Below are 21,420 nucleotides of genomic sequence, written 5' to 3' on the forward strand. Positions count from 1 at the left end.
AGGTTTCCCCATCCTTAATTTGCGGCCTGAAAAGCTGTGGCTCTCCTCAATTAAGACTTTCCAAATTGCCTCTGACATGGCAGCATATTCCCAGGAGTCAGGTCCTGGGAGGCAGTAATAACATGAGCACTGCTGTATAACAACGTAGTTTTACAAGCCATTTTGTGCTCTTTTCAGAAGCTTTCAGGATGCTTTTTCTCTGAAGTTGTAAATTAAAAAGAAAACAAAACTTATTTTGATTTTTTGTTTTTAGTTTTCCTAGTCTCTGAATGTCTAGGTTTAGGGACATCTGTCATAGTCTTATTTATTTATTTTACGTTTAGTCTGGATTTAAAATGTACAAATTAATGTTTAAGTTCTCTGTTTTATTCCTGTAACAATCCTACAAGAACAGGTTCCATTATTGTGTTCATCTTGCAGATGAGGAAACAAGGCCTAGAGAAGTTAAATATTTTTTTCTGAAATGGTACAGCTAGTACGTGGCAGGGCTCAGATTTTGGATCCGGTCCACCTTAACTAAATATGCTTTTGATGTAGCTCTCTTCAGGCTGAATTCTTGACCTCTCATTTGATGCTGACTCTTCTCAAACCCTTAGTCTTTGTGCTACTAGGTAGATTTTATCTGTGGCAAGAACACGGTTACCCTGGAAACCCACTAGCTAGAATGGCAAGCCAATTATAGCACCACCGCTTTTTTTAAATTAAATTAGCGCTGCTGATGACGTGGACTTCTTGATTGAAGCATGCTGAGAAATGGGTTCTCACCAGTTGTTCCTGCCTCTTAGGATCATGTGGGATCATTCTCATCTATTCTATCAAGCCAAACAAGAAAATGCCTCTATGTGATTGACTGGATTTGAGGAATAAAATGTGATGATCTTTTAGGACCCTGAGCTTTCAGTAGTGAGTAGACATGCATGGAAATGTTTGGAAAGAAGCCCTATTGGAGAAGAAGCCTGTCATCTGGATACTTTCCACCCCCAAGCACACAAGGTCCACTGATTTAAAGCCCTGCTCTTAACTACTGAGGCTAATGTTCTCTATTTTAGTATTTCTTATTTTATTTAAGGCCATTGGTTTAAATCCAGACTTGATTCAGGAAAGGTCGTAGCCCTTTGATATTCTTTGGTCTTTGCACACTTCTAATAGGGCAGGAATTTGCTTTAGTTCAAACCAATTGGTGCATTTCCTTTAAGTACACAGAATTTAAACAATTGAATTGATATGGCCACTGTTGAACTGAGTGGTACCAGGTTGGAGGAAAGGACATTCATTATATGTTAGTGGGTTGTGGGCTCACTCTCTGAGATGGTAAACGGTAGGCTGGTAGAATGTTGAGTGGTTCATTCTGCATAACACACATGGCGCCAGGCACATTACCTAGTACCTCTATGATTTTCATCCGCTTTATTTTCTGTTTTGTAGAGTAGGTAAAGGTAAGGAGACGGGCTTGCTCATTTGCAAGGCTATTCTGTGATGCAGGGTTCTGAGTACAGGATTCCTTATTTGCAGTCCAGTGCTCTTCACTTTATACCACCAAGTCACCAGAGTCTCAGGGCCTGTCTTCTGTATCGCAGAAAACAAATCAAGGATTAGCAACACTGAATCTTAATTCTTGAAGTTCTAACAGGAAAATTATGTTAGTCTTGCTACATATCGTAGGCATATTTTGTCCAAAATGAGAGTAATCAGGGAGGAGAAGAGGCTGCATCTTACTGTGTCCTGATGGGTGATACTTCCGTGACTATCTCCATCACCAGTGAGCAGATTTCCAGAAGTCACAGTTCAAAACGATGAAGAGAATTACACATTTTCAGAAAACATTGTACATTCTTTGTTAACTTTTCCACTTGTAAAATAATTTGTTTTCAGACATCCAGGTCCTTTCTCCATGATTTACTGCGTTGGTGACATTAATCAGCGTGGTTATCTTGGAGCCTCATTTCCCCTTGGGTAAAATGGAAGGATAACATTGGCAATCATACAGACGTGTTGTGTAGAAAGGAGTAAGAAGCATTTTGGAAGTGGCAAAGTGGCAATAATCCCCTGTAAGACAGTAGCTGTTTTTAAGATCACTGAGCTCTCAAACACTGGCTTTTTCTGCCTCACACTTTCTAGATTTGTAAGACTTAATCTGAAAATATCTTTGCTATTCATTATGTATAATTGTAGGGCTTTGGATTTAAAAAATCCTAATTCTGTTATTTCCCTGACAATAACAAATTATTCTCATCTAATTTTCTCTTATGTGAAATAAGACATACACCCTAGTTACTTCCATGCCTAATATGATTGACAAATCTATATGTTATCTGAATTGTGAATATATTTTCATACATATAGAAGTACATGTGTGTATTTCTTGAAATCTAATGGTCAATATACACTAACCAGTTATTTCTGGGATTTTGGGAACAGGCTTCTTTCTATACTTCTCTACTTATCTTTAAATTTTCTCTAATGAGCCTACTTTGCTTTTGTTTTACATACAGTAATTAATATATTTATAAATGTATGTATACTATATATTTTAATAAATTTATATAAGTATATGTATGTATATACATATGTTTTGCAAGTAAAAAAACTTTAGTAATAAATATCTACAAAGGCAAATTAAAAACTATTACATTTTTTCTCCCTCCCTTCCTTTCTACTGTTTCCCTCCTCTCCTCTCTTTGGTTTCCTTCCTTCCTTTGTTCCTTCGTTCCTTCGTTCCTTCCTTCCTTCCTTCTGTCCTTCCCTTCCCTCCCTCCCTCCTTCCTCCCCTCCCCTCCCCTTCCTTCTTCTTTCTTGCCCTTTCTCTCTCTCTCTTTTCCTCTCCCCCTTCTGTCTTCCTCTCCCCACCTCCATCTCCCTCTCTCTCTCCTCCCTCCCTGCCGCCTTCCTTCTTTCCAGAAAGTCACTAACCAGAATCTTTCACAGAATAAACTGTGAAACCTAGATCTTAAATGTACTACAGTAGAAAAAGAGATGAGATTTTTGAAAGATGATGGCTTGTCCTTGTCTCTGTACTTGAATCTATCTCAAAACAAAGATATAACTATTGTTTTTAATAATAATTTCAATATAGAGTGACCATCCTTGCCTACTACCCTGAAGAGAGAGAGCATTTACACATAAGACTGGTGGTTGCAGTAAACCCCTTTCAAGTGGAGTGGCCACTATGGTCCTTCCTCTTCCCTTCCTTCCTTTCATTCCCTTGCCCTTTCCCCACTTTCCTTCTCTTCCTTTCCTTTTTTCTTTTAAGGTTCATAAAATCTTGATTGGCCTCCTTCCTAGCAGCCAGGAGTTTGGGTCCCTAATAGCTAAAGCTTATATACTTTATTTTCTTCTTTCTCCAGATGGCTGTGGCTATGAATTTTACTCCCCATCCCAGGACTACCCCTGCTATACTGACACTAATTTTCATTTTATAATACTGTCTTCATCAGTCCATGCTATGCTACTAGTTTTAGTTATTATAATATTAACTTAATCCACAATGAAGGCGACAGGTTTTTTTGTGTGTCTTACTTTTTAAAGGGGAAATATTATCTCTCACTTTAAGGAAACTAACTTTAGCAACTCATTCCCTCACTTTTTTTTTTCTTTCAACTTGATTTGTTCAACTAAGGAGACCACATTTAGTACTTGCTAGCTGAGACTTCTGTTCTACAATTCTGAGTTAGTTCCTCATCCGTCCGACCCTCTCTCCCCGTGGTGCACTGAGTCACAATGTGATCACCAGCTGCATGTGCTGCTATTACACACAACACATTGGCTAGCAGAGGAGCCAGGATTCAGCCTTGGAAGTACTTTCAGGCAAAGGTGAAGACCCTTTCCCCACTCTAAGCATCTTTCAGTAGTTTAGTGTAGCTGATATTAATGTTATAAATGGTCATTCCTAATCCTGTCTCAGTTCCAGCCCAGATGGAGTTTTGATTTTAGAAAATCATTCAGTGAAATGTATTTCCTGTGCCTGGTAGTCATTGATCACTTACCAAAAAAAAAGGGGGTAGTGGGAGACTAAAAATAAACTTATGATAATTCACATACACTTAACCTTTACTGACTAATACCAAAAAGGGAATGAAGCAGGCTCTGCTGACCAGCACTTGCAGATGGATTCCAGGAACGTGGCTAGAGCTGCCAAAGCCATCGCTGAATCCTGCCAAAAGCATCCCAGGGGATTTTACTAAGGGTGGGGAGAGCAGGGAACATGGAGGTGTGTGTGTGAATTTGTTTTAAAACTCTCTTACTCAACACTGAGCAGTGGGAAGAACACTGGGAAAAAAGGTCGGAAAGTGACATTCTAGACTGGGTTCCACCCAATCTCTATGACACTGGAAAAGTAATGTGTCCTCTTTGGAACTTCAGGTATCATGTGAACAATAAGGGTGTCATATTAAGGTCTTAACATGTTGAAATGTTAAAAACATTCTGTAATTACTTAAATTATTTCAAAACAGAAAGATCATACATGTTCATCATGTTTCTGTGTTAACTGGACAAAACTACACTAAAATTAAAGAGCAATAAAAGCAATCGTGTTAAAATTTTATTTTTAAATATAGTACTTCTAGTAACTGAATATCTAACTTTATTAACAATTCTAAATCTCGCTTTTTTTTTTTTTTAAACCCCAGTGAGGCTGGGCACCGTGGCTCACACCTGTAATCTGAGCTCTTTGGGATGCTGAGGCGGTATGATCCCATGAGCACAGGAGTTTGAGACCAGCCTGGGCAACATAGTCAGATCCTGTCTCTACAAAAAGTTTTTTAAATAGCCAGGATTAGCCAGGCATGATGGCATGCACTTGTTGTGTCAGCCACTCTCATTGGGGGTTGGGGGGGTTGGGGGTGGGCTGAGGTAGGAGGCTTGCTTGAGCCCAGGAGGTAGGAGGTCAAGGCTACAGTGAGCCATGACTGTATCACTGCACTCCAGCCTGAGCGACAGAGCAAGACCCTGCCTCTAATTAAATAAGCAAATACACACACACAACACACATATATAAAATAAAATAAAAACCCCAATGTGTTAAGATCTCAGGTTTAAACCTCGGCTTATACAAACCATAGTACTACCGTGCAATAACTGAATTGACAAGGTACCAACACCTATTTTAACCAGAAAAATAACATAATTGTGTTATATTTTCCATGAGAGTCATACTCTTGAAATTAAGTATTTTCTCAATAGAATTGTTTCTCAATTAAAAAAAAAAACTTACTCAAAACATTTAGTATTTAATTATAATTATAGGCAGATAAAATTTATAAAAGATTATCAGTAAGATCAAGAACCTCTGCCTCTTTAATCATGTTTTTCTCTACCTTTTGCTGGTCTCTTCCTGATTTTGATGACCTCATTGTCTATACGAGTATTAAGACATTTGGGGTAGCTTTTTATGTTGTGTACTTTCTTTCCTTCTCCTTATGAGATGGCTGACACCTTCTAAAGGATTCAGAGAGTTTCCATCTTATTGAAAGGTCCTTATGAAAATTCACTGGTAGTGTTCTCAGCTTATACTAGGAAGGCATGTTTCTTCAGAAGCAGTATTTGTTGTATTTAGGGTGGGAATCATTATGTAGCAAGAGTGGTCTACATATTGGTCTTGCAGCAACATCAGCACCCCTTATGAATGGTTTGTTTCCCACCAAAAGTCAAAGATTAGCCTATATGATGGATGATGGCTACAGAAAATAGTGCCAGAAAAACAGAATCAGTAGAAGATATATATTAAGACATTAATTGGGAAGGAGTAGCTTGCATGATTTTGTGGGCTGGCTAGGCAATCTAACATCTACAGATTAGGCAATTAGGAAGGGCAGGCTGTAACTCCGTGGCATGAGATGAAGCTACTTGCCACAATGAGAATTCCTTCTTCTTTAAGGAATCCTCAGCTCTACTTCCAAGACCTTTCAACTGATTGAATCAGGCTCAACCAGGTTATCTAGTGTACTCTTCATTACTTAAAAATCAACTGATTAGAGGCTTTAATCACATGTACAAAACACCTTCCCAGCCACATCTAGATTGGAGTTTGATTGAATAAATGGAGACTTTAGCCTGAAAAAATTAACACACAAATGGACCATCACAGGAGGGTAGTCTTTTTCTACAGAATTTAAATCTGTGGTAGAGAAGCAACAGATACCTCAGGGCAAAAAAAGTCCAGGAAGAGCATAAAGGTTCAAGCAGAACCATGAGAATGCCAGCATTGTCGTTGGAGATGGTGACTGGAAGTGATGATAGGTCTAGGGAACAGTAAATGTGGACAGACTGGCATTTTACCTCGGGCACACTTGGACCTGGATAGGCTCCACCAGTCTGCCCTGGAAACAGAACCACAGTGGGTCAGACAGTCTTTTGTATTAGTTTTAAATACAGAGTTGATTGTCTCTCTTGCATTCTTAACTTGCAATTTAGTACTGTTTATATTCTGCTTGAAGGTTAGAGACATTCGACTAAATGGTCTTTTCTCCACATTGCTGTCATTCATTAATGTCCTGGTCCTGGACTTTACTCATTGACCACAGGACAAGTGGCTCAACTCTCTCCTGCCACTACCCAGGCTGTTAGTCCTGTTGGGAGGCTCAGGGCCCAACTCACTCATCTGTAACTCTCATCTCCATTCAGCTGCAGCCTCTACAGCCCCTGGTTATACCCTGGATCTTATCATTGCTTCGCTCTATTTTACCTCCTAAATCGTAAAAATTAAAACCAGCCTCGGAACACAACCCCTCATTCTTCCAGCACTCTCTCTCATTCAGGTAACTCCTATTCTACTTTTCTTCAGCATATTTACCTTCTATTACCTTTCTTTTTCCTCACCAGTCTCTTATATTTCCTTTATTATCCAACTTACAGTCTGTGGTTCAATACTTCAGCCGACTCTTCCAACACATGACCTTCTTTCGGTAGGCTTTTTTCAGAGTTTCCCTTTTGTACTTGCCCTTATGTAAATCTGTGGCACAGTCAGGCCATCTTGCCAACTTTTCACAGTTATTGCACACCACACTCTGTTGGTTTTCTTCCTACCATTCTGAACAATTTCACTTCAGGGCTCTCCTTAGTGGCTCTTCGTCTCCCTCTCCTTGAATGTCGTTTTACCTTTTTCTTTTTCTTTTTTTTTTTTTTTTTTTTTTTTGAGACAGACTCTCATTCTGTCACCCAGGCTGGAGTGCAGTGGCGCAATTTCAGCTCACTGCAACCTCTGCCTACCAGGTTCAAACGATTCTCTTGCCTCAGCCTCCCGAGTAGCTGTGTCTACAGGTGTGCACCATGCCTGGCTAATTTTTTTTTCTTTTTTCTTTTTTCTGTTTTCTTTTTATTAGAGATGGGGTTTCACCACGTTGGCCAGTCTTGTCTCGAACTCCTGACCTCAACTGATCCACCCACCTCGGCCTCCCAAAGTGCTGGGATTACAGGCATGAGCCACCGTGCCTGGGCTTGAATGTTGTTTTCCTTTGGTGGGGCTTGGGGAGGGGTGTCTTTCCTAGGGCCTGCTCTTGTTTCACTTCCCACATTTGGTTAAGAGAGCCTTTAACTACTATGGCCTCAACTATCAGCTCTACAATATGATATAAATTTGTTTCAGTAAACTTGCTCTTCAGATTCAATTGTTTCTAACTGCTTATCGCTCAGGTGCATTTGGATGTATTGCAGAAATCTCAGCCTCAATGTTTTCAAAATAAACTCATCCACTTCTCTCAGGAATTTTTTCCACTCCAATGTTGTTCGGTATGTGGCATCACCATCTAACCAGTTTCCTAAGCCAGAAGTTTAGGTATTATTTCTAAGCCCTCTCTTTCCCTTATTATCAATTTTACCTCCTAAATATTTCACAATCTTTCTACTTCTCCTCATTTCTGCTGCGGTACGTGATTTCAGATCAGCATCATCTTTCATGGACCATTGGTGATATCCCCCTAACGGGTTTCCTTGTATCCATTTCCCCACCATCGCCCCAATCTATCCACCAAGGCTTTCCTAAAATGCAAGTCTGACTGTATTACTTTCCTGTCTAATATGTTATCTCCTTATTCCTGTAGTATAAGACAGTGATTAGGAAAACAGGCTCTGAAGTCAAATAGAAATGAGTTTGAATCTCATATAACTATGTGATCTTGGACAAAATAACCTTTTTTGGTTTGTTTTCCACGTGCGAAATAGGAACAGTAATTGAACTTTTCTTTTTAGATGTTGCATACCTCTCTGGTATACATGAAGAAGATGTGTAGTATCTCATTCCCACCCCGCTTATGCACCATGCTATAGTCACACACTGCCTTTGCTCTGATCCCCAGAGACATTGAGCCACCACTGGAGAGTCACATGATATTGTTTTTAGCCTGGAACATTGTTCACTACCTCAGTCTTTTATTGCCTTGTCTCAACATAGACGCCATTTCCCTTAAGACATTTTCAGCACACTCCTCTGGTATAATTTAGTTTAAATGTCCTTGCTGTGTTCTCCTGTGTTTTTCTCCTTGAACTTCCTAATCCTTACACCTTCCACCCTGCAAATGATCATTATCTCACTGCCTCTCCCAAATGATAACCTCTTTCCACCCATTTTAAGTTCCATGAGGACGATGACCATTGACCCGGACCGCGTTGTTAAACTTCTTAGTCTCAGCTGCCAAGAGCTTAGCACAGTGTCTAGCAGAGATCGGACACTCAGTAAATATTTGATGAATGTTTATAGTGTGACTGTCTCGCCAGTGCACATACAACAAAGTGATCCCATCTTTCCTTCTGTATCATAAAATAGAATTTTCTTACCTCTGTAATTTCTCCCTAGGAACCAGACTGCTTCTAGAGAGCTTCTTCACAAAATCAAATTAATTGGTATTTTACAAGGAGGGAAAGCCCCAGGACAAGTCCCTTCTCTTGACCACAAAGTTCTGTGTTTCTCATCTTTCCTCTTGATGTCTTGGTTTCAGCAAAGCAACATTTCTATCCCTGCCCCCTGCTCCCCCATAATCCTACAAATGTACTATAGATATGTGTAAGTACTACATCCCCAATCAAGTACAGCGTTTGGCCTCGGGTGGGAGTCAAACAGCAAGCTGATTTTTAACATTACTTGGAAGAAATTTTCTAGGTATATAACTGACAAACATTCATGGAGAGCTACTTCATTTTTCTGTCAAGCTTTTGGGGGATTTTTTTTAATAGTTCTGCACTTTGAAAGAAAGTTCACAATTTTTAAAAGGAAATGTGGCCCTTTTCATTAGCTCCTTTTACCTCATGCTGAGTCATGGATGAGAGAGAATTTGTAGGCGGGTGAGCTGCAGGAAAAGTAATACTGTCATTTACACTTGCAGGCTGTTATGCTTTCCAGAAAACTTTTTCCGTAGGTTGCGAAAGTGATTAATCTGCTGTTAAAACTGACAAAGAAGGTTCTCTGATAAGAGAAAGAATTAAATGAGGAATTTTTCTTTAAAAAGTAAGCGCTTCTTTCCCATTTTAGATTAGAAAAATAAGTTTAAATGTTTCTTTTAATTTTAGTCGTGTGTGTGTGTGTGTGTGTGTGTGTGTGTGTGTGAAGTTGGCCATGACTTAATACAATCTCAAGCCATTTTCTATTTAAATTATGTTTTTTTACTTATTGGCATGGCTTATTCCTCATGCTGTATATCTAAATTATTCATTTCTACATCCTGTTCCCTTGCTTGTCTCTCTTTCTTCTTCTTTTTTTTTCCTTTCATTTTCTTTATTTGGGTCTTTTCAATACTTTCAACATCATCTTACTTCGGAGCCCCAGATCTCTTCTTTTCTACCAACCTTTTTTGAAACATTAAAACTGGTGAAGATGGCCTGAGTTCTCTCTGTGATATAAATTTATCCCTCCCTGAAAAATTCCATTCATGTAACATTTTTATAACACTTTTTAAAACTAGGATGAAAGTTTTTTCATGTAGTTGAAATGAAGCATCACTGCCTAAAGCGTTTAGAAATTTTTTTACTGTTGGTTTTAAGAAATTACTCTAGGATTTCCACTGAGGACTGGCAAGTATTGGTGAAGTTTGATCTCTCAGAGCTCATGTTTCAGATGGCAACTTAAAGGGACAAATAAATAAGTCAATCACACGGCATAATCTAACTTTAATATGATTCTGCAGAGAACCAGTGACTCATTTAGAGAAATCAGAGTCCTCAGAAAGGTGGAAAACATGTTAGAACTTATTAAGCTTGTTGCCTTTAGCATGTCAATGCCTTGTTTTTATAAGAAGATTCAATGGGTTGTTAAAATGCACTGTCTTAACCCTCTCCCCTTTGTATTTTTCTACTCTTAAGATGCATCATTTTATGTTGGGATCTATCAGTTTATTTTACTTGTTTTTCCTTCTTCCTCTCCTTATTTTGAAGGCTGACTTCTGAGCTTGAGCCATATCCTTGGCAACTGAATGAATTCATGGGGAGTATAGTAGAAAAGATTTTCTCACAACTCTGACAGCACTGCCCCCTAGTAAAAAAGGGAAGAGACAAAGAGAAATGGTCCCTTCTGCAACTGAAGGGACCAGCACAGGGGACTTGGCATTCTTCTTTTAGTCCTAAAGCTTAGACATACATACTGCTTTCGCCCCTGGGCTACAAATACATGTTTTAAAATTCTGAAGTTGAAAACGTCAAAACCATTTACAATTAAAAACCTGCTATTACTGTATATTTATACAGGTATTTCATAAGGGAAAAAGTAGAAAACATGTAAATGTATTTGTTTTATGTCTGAAGTTCCAAGATTATTTCTGTTTCTTTACTGAATGTGTTTGAAATATATGCAAACACACATGTAAACATACCTGTATATTTATGTACAGATATAAGTCTACATGGAGACCAGCATTTTTAGATAACACTGTTTTACAGGCTGTGCATCCATCTTTAAGGTGCTATAGCATAAGGTCTATGACTGCATTTTGTAATAAAAGATGGCAGGCTTTCTGGAAAGGGTCTCTTTGGGGCAGGAAGAGGTGTGAAGATCTTTTGCATTCTACTTTTAAAGTACAACAAGTTAAATTGCTACCAGATACATTAGCTTTATGGAGGTTTGTTTCCATTTTTATAGCAAAATCAAATAACTTTTAAATCAGAGGAAAAAAATATTCTTTTGTTGTTTTTATTTTTGTTGTTGAGATTGCCTGTTTTACGTTGAGTGCAGTGTTTTTCAGGTGGAAACATATTGGTTTGACATTTTAAGAGGAAAATGTTCTATATGTAATATGAAAGAGTCTTTTTCTTAACTAAATGCCAGCAACAAAATTTAAACCAAAAAATGTAGTAATGAAACAATGGTAATGAGATATGATTATGGTTTAGTGAGAGAAAAAAGCCCTGCAGGGAACAGTACAAGCACAGTAAATTATGAATTGCTACTAAATAGGCCTCATTAGTCCACTGTGGACCATGTTTAATTGATATTAGAAAGGAGTCTGGAAAACTTTGGAAAGTACATGTAAGACAACTTGCTGTTAAACTAATAAAAGTCGTTAGAGTGTCTGTTTCAAAAATTAGTAATTATTAATTGTGTGTGAGGGTCCTCAGGCAGCACCCATTTTACTAAAACATGCTTAGAGAAAAGATATTTCTATGAGAAATGAAACTGCAGAATGCTGAGCAGTGTAATATGTGACAGTTCCCTGGGAGTTTCTCCCCTCCTCGTAGGTATTTTTAGCAAAATAGTCCTTAAACATTGTTTTTTTTTTTTTTAAGTTGGAGTCTCGCTCTGTCGCCAGGCTGGAGTGCAGTGGCCCGATCTTGGCTCACTGCAACCTCCACCTCCTGGGTTCCAGCAATTCTCCTGCCTCAGCCTCCCGAGTAGCTGGGACTACAGGCACGCACCATCAGGCCCAGCTAATTTTTGTATTTTTTAGTAGAGACGGGGGTTTCCACCATATTGGCCAGGCTGGTCTTGAACACCTGACCTCGTGATCCTCCCACCTCTGCCTCCCAAAGTGTTGGGATTACAGACGTGAGCCACCGCGCTTGCCCCTTAAGTGTTGTTTTAAAGAAAGTTGGCGCTCTGGCCGGGCGCGGTGGCTCACGCCTGTAATCCCAGCACTTTGGGAGGCCGAGGCGGGTGGATCATGAGGTCAGGAGATCGAGACCATCCTGGCTAACAAGGTGAAACCCCGTCTCTACTAAAAATACAAAAAATTAGCCGGGCGCGGTGGCGGGCGCCTGTAGTCCCAGCTACTCGGGAGGCTGAGGCAGGAGAATGGCGTGAACCCGGGAAGCGGAGCTTGCAGTGAGCCGAGATTGCGCCACTGCAGTCCGCAGTCCGGCCTGGGCGACAGAGCGAGACTCCGTCTCAAAAAAAAAAAAAAAAAAAAAAAAAAAAAAGAAAGTTGGCGCTCTACTGAAGACTGGAGCCCAAGAAGACATTTATAGGGATTGTTTATTTTCATGTTGTTACTACACTCCATGGTCTGCAAAACCAGAGTGCCAGATGTTAAATTCTATCAGCATAATGCATCTTTAATTAAATATTATATACGCCATACAATTAATAATGTGGTCTGTTTCCAAAACTTTATTAAGAAATTACCATAATTTTGTATAATAGGCTAATAAAAAGGCACTGTACTTTGAAACAGCCTTTCGTAAAGTGGTTATATGATTTGTATCTGTTGAATTTGGAATTTAGATTAAGAGATTGTGGGCCAGAATTATCTGATGCAATGTACTCAGGACTTTAAATAAGTTGCGAATCTTGTAGGGTCTACTATTATTTGGCTTCCTTTAAAATAAAATAGGTTTCTTATTTGTCGATGAGCTCACTCTTTAAGAGGTTTAGGGAATAATTTACCTACTCGCTTTGTGTCCCCCAACCCTACTTTGTAAAAACCTCAAACAATACAAAACATGATAATTCCAAATATACAGTACATTGGGCTATGATATTTCTTAATGAATGGAAAGTCATGCATCTGGTTCTGTGGTCATCATTGATGTTTTAATTTTCACAATGTGTTAACCTGATACTTAAATTCCCCTAGTTGTCCTGTGAAGAAAGAATTTTAAATTCACATTTCACATGCAGACAAACTCTGATATTTAAAAATAATAGTTATCTTTTAAACTGAGATCCTATGTGGATATGGAATAGCGTATACAGCTCTGACAATAGGGCTTCAGTAAAATAACATTTTGCAAGCTGTGTTTTTCAAGACAAAATGTCACCCTCAGCTAAACAGAAGTAATTTGCATCAGAGGTGTGTGTGTCCTTACTCTTAATGAAAAAACGGTCCCCTCTCTTCAGAAAGTATTTGCTATCTCTACAATGTATTATTTTCATCACTGTGTCCCTCCCCTGCCCTTCTTATGCCCTAATATTTGTCCCTTAATTCTATTAAATTAGTTGTCAACTAAAATTAAAGGTAGATGTTATCCTTCACAATCTGTCCTGGTCTAATTTTTCAGTCTTGATTCGTCTTCTTTACTTTATGGAGTGTAGAGGTGGCTAACAGAACAACTCTGGAGCCACAATGTGTAGATTCAGATACCAACAGTAGCTTATGCTGAAACCTGGGTCAAATTACTTAAGCTCACATACCTCAGTTTCCTCATCTACAAAATGAGGATAATAATAGGTTCTTCCTCACTTATATGTAAAGCATTTAAATAAGGACTAGTAGATTGTATGTACTAGCTGTTATTAAATTCTGCCACATTTGTTTGTTCTCCATACACACCTTAGCCTTTTGTCTATGTCTCTGTTCACATTGTTTGCTGGAAACAGGATCCACCCTTCTCCTCCAAGGCCAGTGTATGTGTGTCCACAAACACACAGCCATCCATGTGTTGTGATTCCACGCACCTCCGAAGATACGGCTCAGAGAGCCACCCTCTGCTTGCCAGATTGAGCATAGTTCATCTGGAACTTTCATACACTTCTCTGTCTTACTTAGCATTTGCAACTATACTTTATAGTTATTTTCAAGTTTATTTTGCCTCTTTTGCTGGTGTGTGGACTTCTTGAGTCCATGGACTTCCTGTGATAAATTTCTCCCTACTACAAAAAGCTCAGTGCCTTGTGCTGAGCTGCTGTGCTTAGTAATAGATAGGGGAGAGGGTGTTTTTTTATATCTATATACATATATATGTACATATATATGTACACATAATTTGATATACTTTTGAGTGTACATGATGTGGTTCCTTATTTTTGCATTAAGCCTATCACTTCCGGGCATTGGCAAAGATCTGAAAATTAAAAGGAACACAAATAAGAAATGCATTTAGTCCATTTAAGCAACATGTGAGTTCCTCTTATTGAGTTTCTTCCCTAATTTAGATCTCAAGTTTTGCAAAAGAATGACAAATTCCTTTATTTAAAGAAAAATGAAAGCAGATCTGTTACCTTCTGTCCTATGAATGCCAATTCTCTATCCTGGATAATTAGATAAATAAGATATGTATAAGCGTATGGTTTATGCACATAGACATGAAGCTCTCAATGCCTGCATGATTTTCCTGTCATGCTCATGTGGGTTAAAGCCCAATAGATGTATTTTGAAAACTCGAATGCCAGTATGTCTTTAAAAAGATTATATCCTGAAATAAAGTTTTAACATCCTGTATCCTATGATAAAAGTTATTTTGCATTTTTTTCTTTACCACTGAAAACTTGCGAGGCTCAAAGTAGTTTAATTTTTATATATTGAAGCTACTCATTTGCCATATTTTAAAAACAAATCATAAAACATGGTAATTGGTAATTTCACAAATTTTATCAGGGAATATTTTATTATTACATTTTTAAAATAAAACCTGTAGATTTATTTAAAAAGCATATTTTGAACTAAAGACCTGAAATGTGTAGCTTGTGTAGCTCCATTTGAAAAGATGAAGGTTTTGCTATTGTTTACAACAGTTTTGCCTGATTTTTGTTTTCCCCTTTTGCTCTGTTTTTGTAGTTCAGTTTGTTGCAGCATTGTTGTCATGTCTAATTTTTGTTTACGTTGCACTGCACAGCACTCTTTCGTATACTTAAGTAACCTTTCTTGTTCTGCACTGCTGAATGACAGCTCATTTATTCTAGGGTGGTAATTGCAGTGTAGCAGACCCAGGTGAGCAATGTAAAAAGTTGAAGCAGATAAAATGTATGATTTCTTTTATAATGGTATTGTGTGCTGTGTTCTCCTCATATAGATGCTTTTTGTTTACATAGAGAATATCTAGGAACAATCTACATGTTCTTCAAGATCTTTTAAAATAAATACTCTTTCATTTTTAAAAAAGATGTATTCTTGGCCAGGCGCTGTGGCTCATGCCTGTAATCCCAGTACTTTGGGAGGCCGAGGCGGGTGGATCACTTGAGGTCAGGAGTTTGCGACCAGCCTGGCCAACATGGTGAAACCCTGCCTCTACTAAAAAATACAAAAATTAGCCGGGCATAGTGGCACATGTTTGTAATCCCAGGTACTCAGGAGGTTGAGGCAGGAGAATCGCTTGAACCTGGCAAGCAGAGGTTGCAGCGAGCTGAGATCGCGTCACTGCAATCCATCCTAGACAACACAGCAAGGCTGTGTTTAAAAAAATAAAAAGACATAATTGCAAAAGAAGTATTTCACTTCACCCTTTATTATAGGACAGACCACAGTGCAAGCAAGAAGATAAATGGTTAACTTACAACTGACCTCTGATTGGAGAATACTAGAGAGTGGTGAAGACTGTGGCAAGCAGGAGGGCTCACCAACCTCCCAGATTTAACCCAGGCTGCATGTAGGAATGCAGACCCAGTGTTGCTAGGTCTCTGGAATTAAGTTATATTTAACTAGCCTGTGATCTCTAAGGCCTTCAATTATGAGGTTCAGCACCACTGGAAAACTGAGTCAGTTTAGTGCTTTATTTCACAAAGGCAAATTGATGGTCCTTTCTGACCCTAAATTCCCAGTTTTACTTAAACTATTTAGACAAATCTAAGAAGTGTGTGAAATAAATACAGTGGAGCTTGAGGATTTTTGTTGTTGATTTTCTGTCCTTTTATATTTCCTCCTTCCCTCTGAGGGTTCACATAGGAGCCTCCACAGCCAGAGGATTACTTTCAGAATTGGAGGCAAGATTATTTCTTGGAATTTTGGTCTGAGGAAAAATTATTTAGGTCACTTGGACACTTATGTTGTGCTTTCCCACAAAATTGTCTAGCATTTTCTTTAAGACATATGCATGACCACTGCCCAAACGAAATAAATCACCCTTTCTCTTAAAGGATCCAGACTATTAAATATGAAGAACATCAACTAATTTGACTAGCAGAATGTAGGCCTTCAGTGTTAACATAGCCTTTTTCTGTTATTGCATTTATCTGCCTTTGTTCTGAAGCCCCAGTCTAGTACCTTTCTTAATGCAGATCTCTTTGAGCATAATGTTTCCATTAAACCAGCCAGTGGATCTCATTTGCTCCATACATATTCATATTAGGAAATATTATTGTACAAAGTAAAAGATGCTAGTAAAAGATATGCTGGAACAACATTTCTGACAGTATTTGTTCTGTAGTTAATGCTCTGGGAGCCTTTTTCCTTCAAACTCTCTATTCCTAGTTAGGGCCTCATCATTTCTTGCCTGGATTATTGCAGTAGCTTCCAGGCTGGCTTCCTTTATGCCCTTCATAAGCATATGGCTGCCAGATTAATATTTTTTTCAACACAGCCCTGATCCTGTCATTCTACAATTGAGTTCCTCACAGTCTACCTGATACAGAGACAGAAGGAATGTGATAATACAAATAATAATGGTACTCACAACAACAATAAATGACTGGTCTTTGATATTTAATCTCTAATATCAATTGTCTTGAGACAACAAGGCTTTTTGAATTCAATATCAGAGGGTTTAACTGTGAGGTACTTGGCATGGGTCTGAATTGCATGTATATTGTATGACTGATTGAAAGAAGATTATCTGATACACATGAGAAGTGTGGAGGTGGGAGCTGACATTTTGTTAGAAGTGCATGCCTGGCATTTTGATATACTATTGCACCTCCTCAAATCTTTTTAACAGAAACAAACTACTTTGTGATGATAGAATAGCATAATACAGGACAGCGGAAAAATCTTAGTGCTTTTTGTTCTGGTTTTGATTTTGCAACTAAATATGTATGATAAATAGGAAATTAGTGCATTGGAGCATATGCATCTGTTAAAGCAGATTGACTGCTTGGTTATCACACTATAAACAACATTTTTGAAGAATTTTAAAATTTATAATCTCTGATATAATGTTAAATGAAAAATAAGATACAAAGCCACACATAAAGAGGGTTCACATTTAAGCACCATCACCTATACAAAACACACACGCACACAGTCACACACACACACATACACACAGTCACACACACACTTACACACAGATACAAGTATACATAGAAATACAAACCATGAAAATAAAGTTACCAAAACAGTTGTTATCACTAAAGTTTTGAACGAGTGTTTTTTATTTCTTTATTAACCTTGTTATTACTTCTCATATTTTCTACAATGAGTATCACTGTTTTTAGTTTTGTTTTTGTTTTTTAAATGGAGTCTCACTCTTTCTCCCAGGCTGGAGTGCAGTGGGGCTATCTTAGCTCACTGCAACCTCCACCTCTCGGGTTCAAGCAATTCTGCCTCAGCCTCCTGAGTAGCTGGGATGACAGGTGCCCACCACCACGCCTGGCTAATTTTTATATTTTTAGTAGAGACAGGGTTTCACTATGTTGGCCAGGCTGATCTTGAACTCCTAACCAGGTGATCTGCCTGCCTTGGCCTCCCAAAGCGCTGGTATTACAGGTGTCAGCCACTGTACCCGGCGTATCATTGTTTTAATGAATACACTGTCTTACACGAGGGCTTGCCTAGCTCTCTCAAAAGTCTAAGAAACAATGAATAATATTATTTTATTTAAACATTATTTAAAAACATGAAAACAGTGAATACAAAGTTGAACTCTCCTCTTACAATAATAAAAATTCTTCTTGAATAATTCTGTATCCTACCATTCCATGAATTGTATCCATGGAAAAGTGTATGTTTTTCTGATTCATTTATTTATTTGCTTCTAGGTTATTGGATGAAGAAATCTAGGAATAGAATGAATAACTGTATAGATTACACCTCTGATGCCTGGTGTGTGTGTGTGTGTGTGTGTGTGTGTGTTTCTTCCCTTGTGATTTTCTCTCCTTTTCCTGCCTAATAATGATGTAGCTGATCTGCTTATCATGTTCCTTTATTTCTATAATTCCAATTGTTGTAGATCCCATAGAGGTGTTCACTCTTGCTCTCTCTCTCTCTTCTCTCTCCCTCTCACACACACACAGATTAAATAGAGAAAATTAAGTAAAGAGAGGAAAATGAGGAATAATTTCATACTTTAATATATTCATTCATTCATTGCTCTTTGATAATTTTTTTCTTTTTTAATTTTATTTTTCCCTAAGTTATTGGGGTATAGGTGGTATTTGGTTACATTAGTAAGTTCTTTAACGGACATTTGTGAGATCCTGGTGCACCCATCACCTGAGCAGTATACACTGCACCATATTTGTTGTCTTTTTTCCCATGCTCCCCTCCCACTCTTTCCCTCAAGTCCCCAAACTCCATTGTATCATTCTTATGCCTTTGCGTCCTCATAGCTTAGCTCCCACATATCAGTGAGAACATACGATGTTCGGTTTCCCATTCCTGAGTTACTTCACTTAGAATAATAGTCTCTAATCTCATCCAGGTCATTGCAAATGCTGTTAATTCATTCATTTTTATGGCTGAGCAGTATTCCACTGTATATGTATACACCGTAGTTTCTTTATCCACTCATTGATTGATGGGCATTTGGGTTGGTTCCACGATTTGCTACTGTGAATTGTGCTGCTATAAACACACGTGTGCAAGTATCATTTTCGAATAATGACTTCTTTTCCTCTGGGTAGATACCCAGTAGTGGGATTGCTGGATCAAATGGTAAGTAGAGCTCTATGATGTTTTGATACTCTTCTATGGCATAGACTTAGTGCTCCCATGTTCTAAGTGTTATGAAAGGCTGAAGATAGGAATATTAGAACATGGCCCCCTTCCTGAGTTATATAGCTTAGAACAATGGTACTCAAACTTAAGAATGTGTAAGAATTACCTAGGCCATAGCACTTACACATGGAATATCAAGAGGGAGAACAGACTAGGAGAAGACGTTTGAATTCAGCTGCCCATGTAAAGTATAAAGAATTATTTTTACCCAGAATCTTGAAGGGGAAGGAACTGAGTCACACAGACAAGAATGTGCCTAAAGCAATTCAGCAGTTCAGAGTGGAATGAAAAGGACCCTGGTTCCCTGCTCTTAAGCCAGTGTTCTTTAGCTGGCTAGAACTCAGCTCTCTGTTTAAAAAATGAATGGGTTGCAGTGGAGCGCTGTGTTCCAAGTAGGATTTGTAAGACTTCTGGAATTCTGAAAAAATTCTACTGGTTTTCTGCCTGTTTCTCTGTCTATACTTGAATTCACTGAGGCCAAAAATGGTAACTTTTTACCCAGTAGCTGGCAACATTCCTGGTAATTAGAAAGTGATCAGTAAATGCTCAATGACTATCTGAATGATTGCATTTTTCAAAAAGAAATCTGAAGTCTAAATTTTGAGCCAACTAAACATCATATTTCTTTGGTTTTGGGTGGTTTGGGAAAAATCCAATGTGTTCTCTGAAAGGAAAACATATTTGGAGATATGATTATTTTTTTCTGTAAATAAAGTTACTTTGTTGTAAATATAAATATACATGCTCATTTTATAAAAGAAAATGAAAGGAGAAAAAAGAGCAAAATATCTGTATTGACACCACTCATAATTACCACTCATAATTTTTGTTTTGTTTTTCTTATTCACATATAGGACTTTTATCATGATATATGTATGAATTTATATCCTGTTATTTTTCTGAAACATTATAGCATAACAGGATTAAGTATCCTATTACCTCTACAGTTCCTGATATTTATAAAGATAAATTATGAAAATAATGTTTGAATGAGAAGGTTTTTCTGTTTATATGCTGTTCCAAAGAACCTTAGGTATCAGAATTTATCTGAGCCCAAAAACGTCCCTTAGGTACCTTAAGCTACCCAAATTCTTTGAATTCTTTCAATCAAATCCCCTAATTTTATAAAGAGGAAATTGAAACCCAAGAAACAATATAAGTGAATTTGTTTGAACCCAGGAATTTCAGTACTTGTTGTCCTAATTTAAAATTGTGTCCCAAAGAATATTTATCTTTGAATTTGTTGATGTTTGCTCTTTTAAAAAGGAAAGAAGAATAATAAACTAATTCCTCATTTTACCTTTAAAAGGAAGTTTCACTGGAGGAATAAGACCCAAATGAATGAACCCCCATCAGTCATTCGTATCCCCCAGCTGATGAGGATTTCAGCAGTTGTGCTGACACCTTGATCTTGGGCTAGCCACCCTCCCCTTGCTCTGCCATGGAGCTTGGTCACCTTGTACCATGGTCAAAATAATGGTGCTCTCTTTCAAAAGCCATCCTTAGATTTCCAGCTAATAGTGTGTAGAAAAGAGAAAACATAATTTTTTAGTACCCCAAATTCTAGGTTATCTACTGCACTGAATGATCTAAAATATCAAGTAGGCGCTTTCAGCAAAGCTGTTAGAAATATAAATAGAAAAAATAGGAAAGATTATTTGTGGGACCATTCAAACTAAGACTGTTGTTGTTCTCATTATTATTGTTGTTTTTAAAGGACACTGTCCATATATTGCAAGACATGTTGCCCACTGCCCTTCACCTATGGGATTATATAAACGCAATCCTATTTTTTAAATAGTTGTGCAGAAAATCGAGAAGGGAGCTACCTTAACTGTGTATTCAGTTCTTGAGTGACAAAGACAGGCGTGAGAGAGAGAGTCCCTTGCTTCCAAATCACCCCTCCTTTGCCTCACCCTTTTCAGGACAAACCGACTACCAGAAATGAATCTAACCCATGTGGTCACTACAGGATTTATCTGGGCATTTGCTGAACCTGCTCGCAATTTATTTTTATTTCTTCCGATAGACATGGATTTGGCACAGGGGAGTGAATTCTTTTTGAAGCAGCAGATGTGCCTGGTACACCCGTTTGCTGTAACCATTTGTGCTGTGGTTGAAAAAAATTTTTTTAAGAGTGCAGAATTGTTGAAGGGGGAGGGTTAAAAAACCAGAGCCATTTTAGTGATTATGCAAAGTTAGAATGTGAGTAATTTTGCTGCAGTTAGTCATTATGTGCTTTCATAGCTTGTTTTACAGGGATAAAGGGATGTGTACAGGTTTGGTGAATAGAGCTCTTATTTGTTCCTAATAGTCACTCTTCATGAAAACATTTTCTACCCTTCCTCCTACTCTGTGGCAAAAGTGCTCTCTCCTTGGAAATTATACCTTTCTGGGATCCATTCCTTTTATCCATCTA

The 21,420-nt window shown here is 38.1% G+C and overlaps 1 protein-coding gene across 59 annotated transcripts in view; it reads left to right on the forward strand.

Moving 5' to 3' along the window:
* Positions 1 to 21,420, forward strand: part of LPP (LIM domain containing preferred translocation partner in lipoma) — a 737,651-nt gene that overhangs the window by 422,026 nt on the left and 294,205 nt on the right. The window contains exon 1 of one of the 59 annotated variants that reach the window (NM_001387675.1): positions 9,292 to 9,436. The exons of the other annotated variants lie outside the window; for them this stretch is intronic. The gene's annotated coding sequence lies outside the window, so the exon portion shown is untranslated. Of the gene's footprint in view, positions 1 to 9,291; positions 9,437 to 21,420 lie in introns of those variants that run through there. 59 annotated transcript variants of the gene reach the window in all.

Source organism: Homo sapiens, chromosome 3 (genome assembly GCF_000001405.40).
Source record: "Homo sapiens chromosome 3, GRCh38.p14 Primary Assembly".
Taxonomy (NCBI): Eukaryota; Metazoa; Chordata; class Mammalia; order Primates; family Hominidae; genus Homo; species Homo sapiens.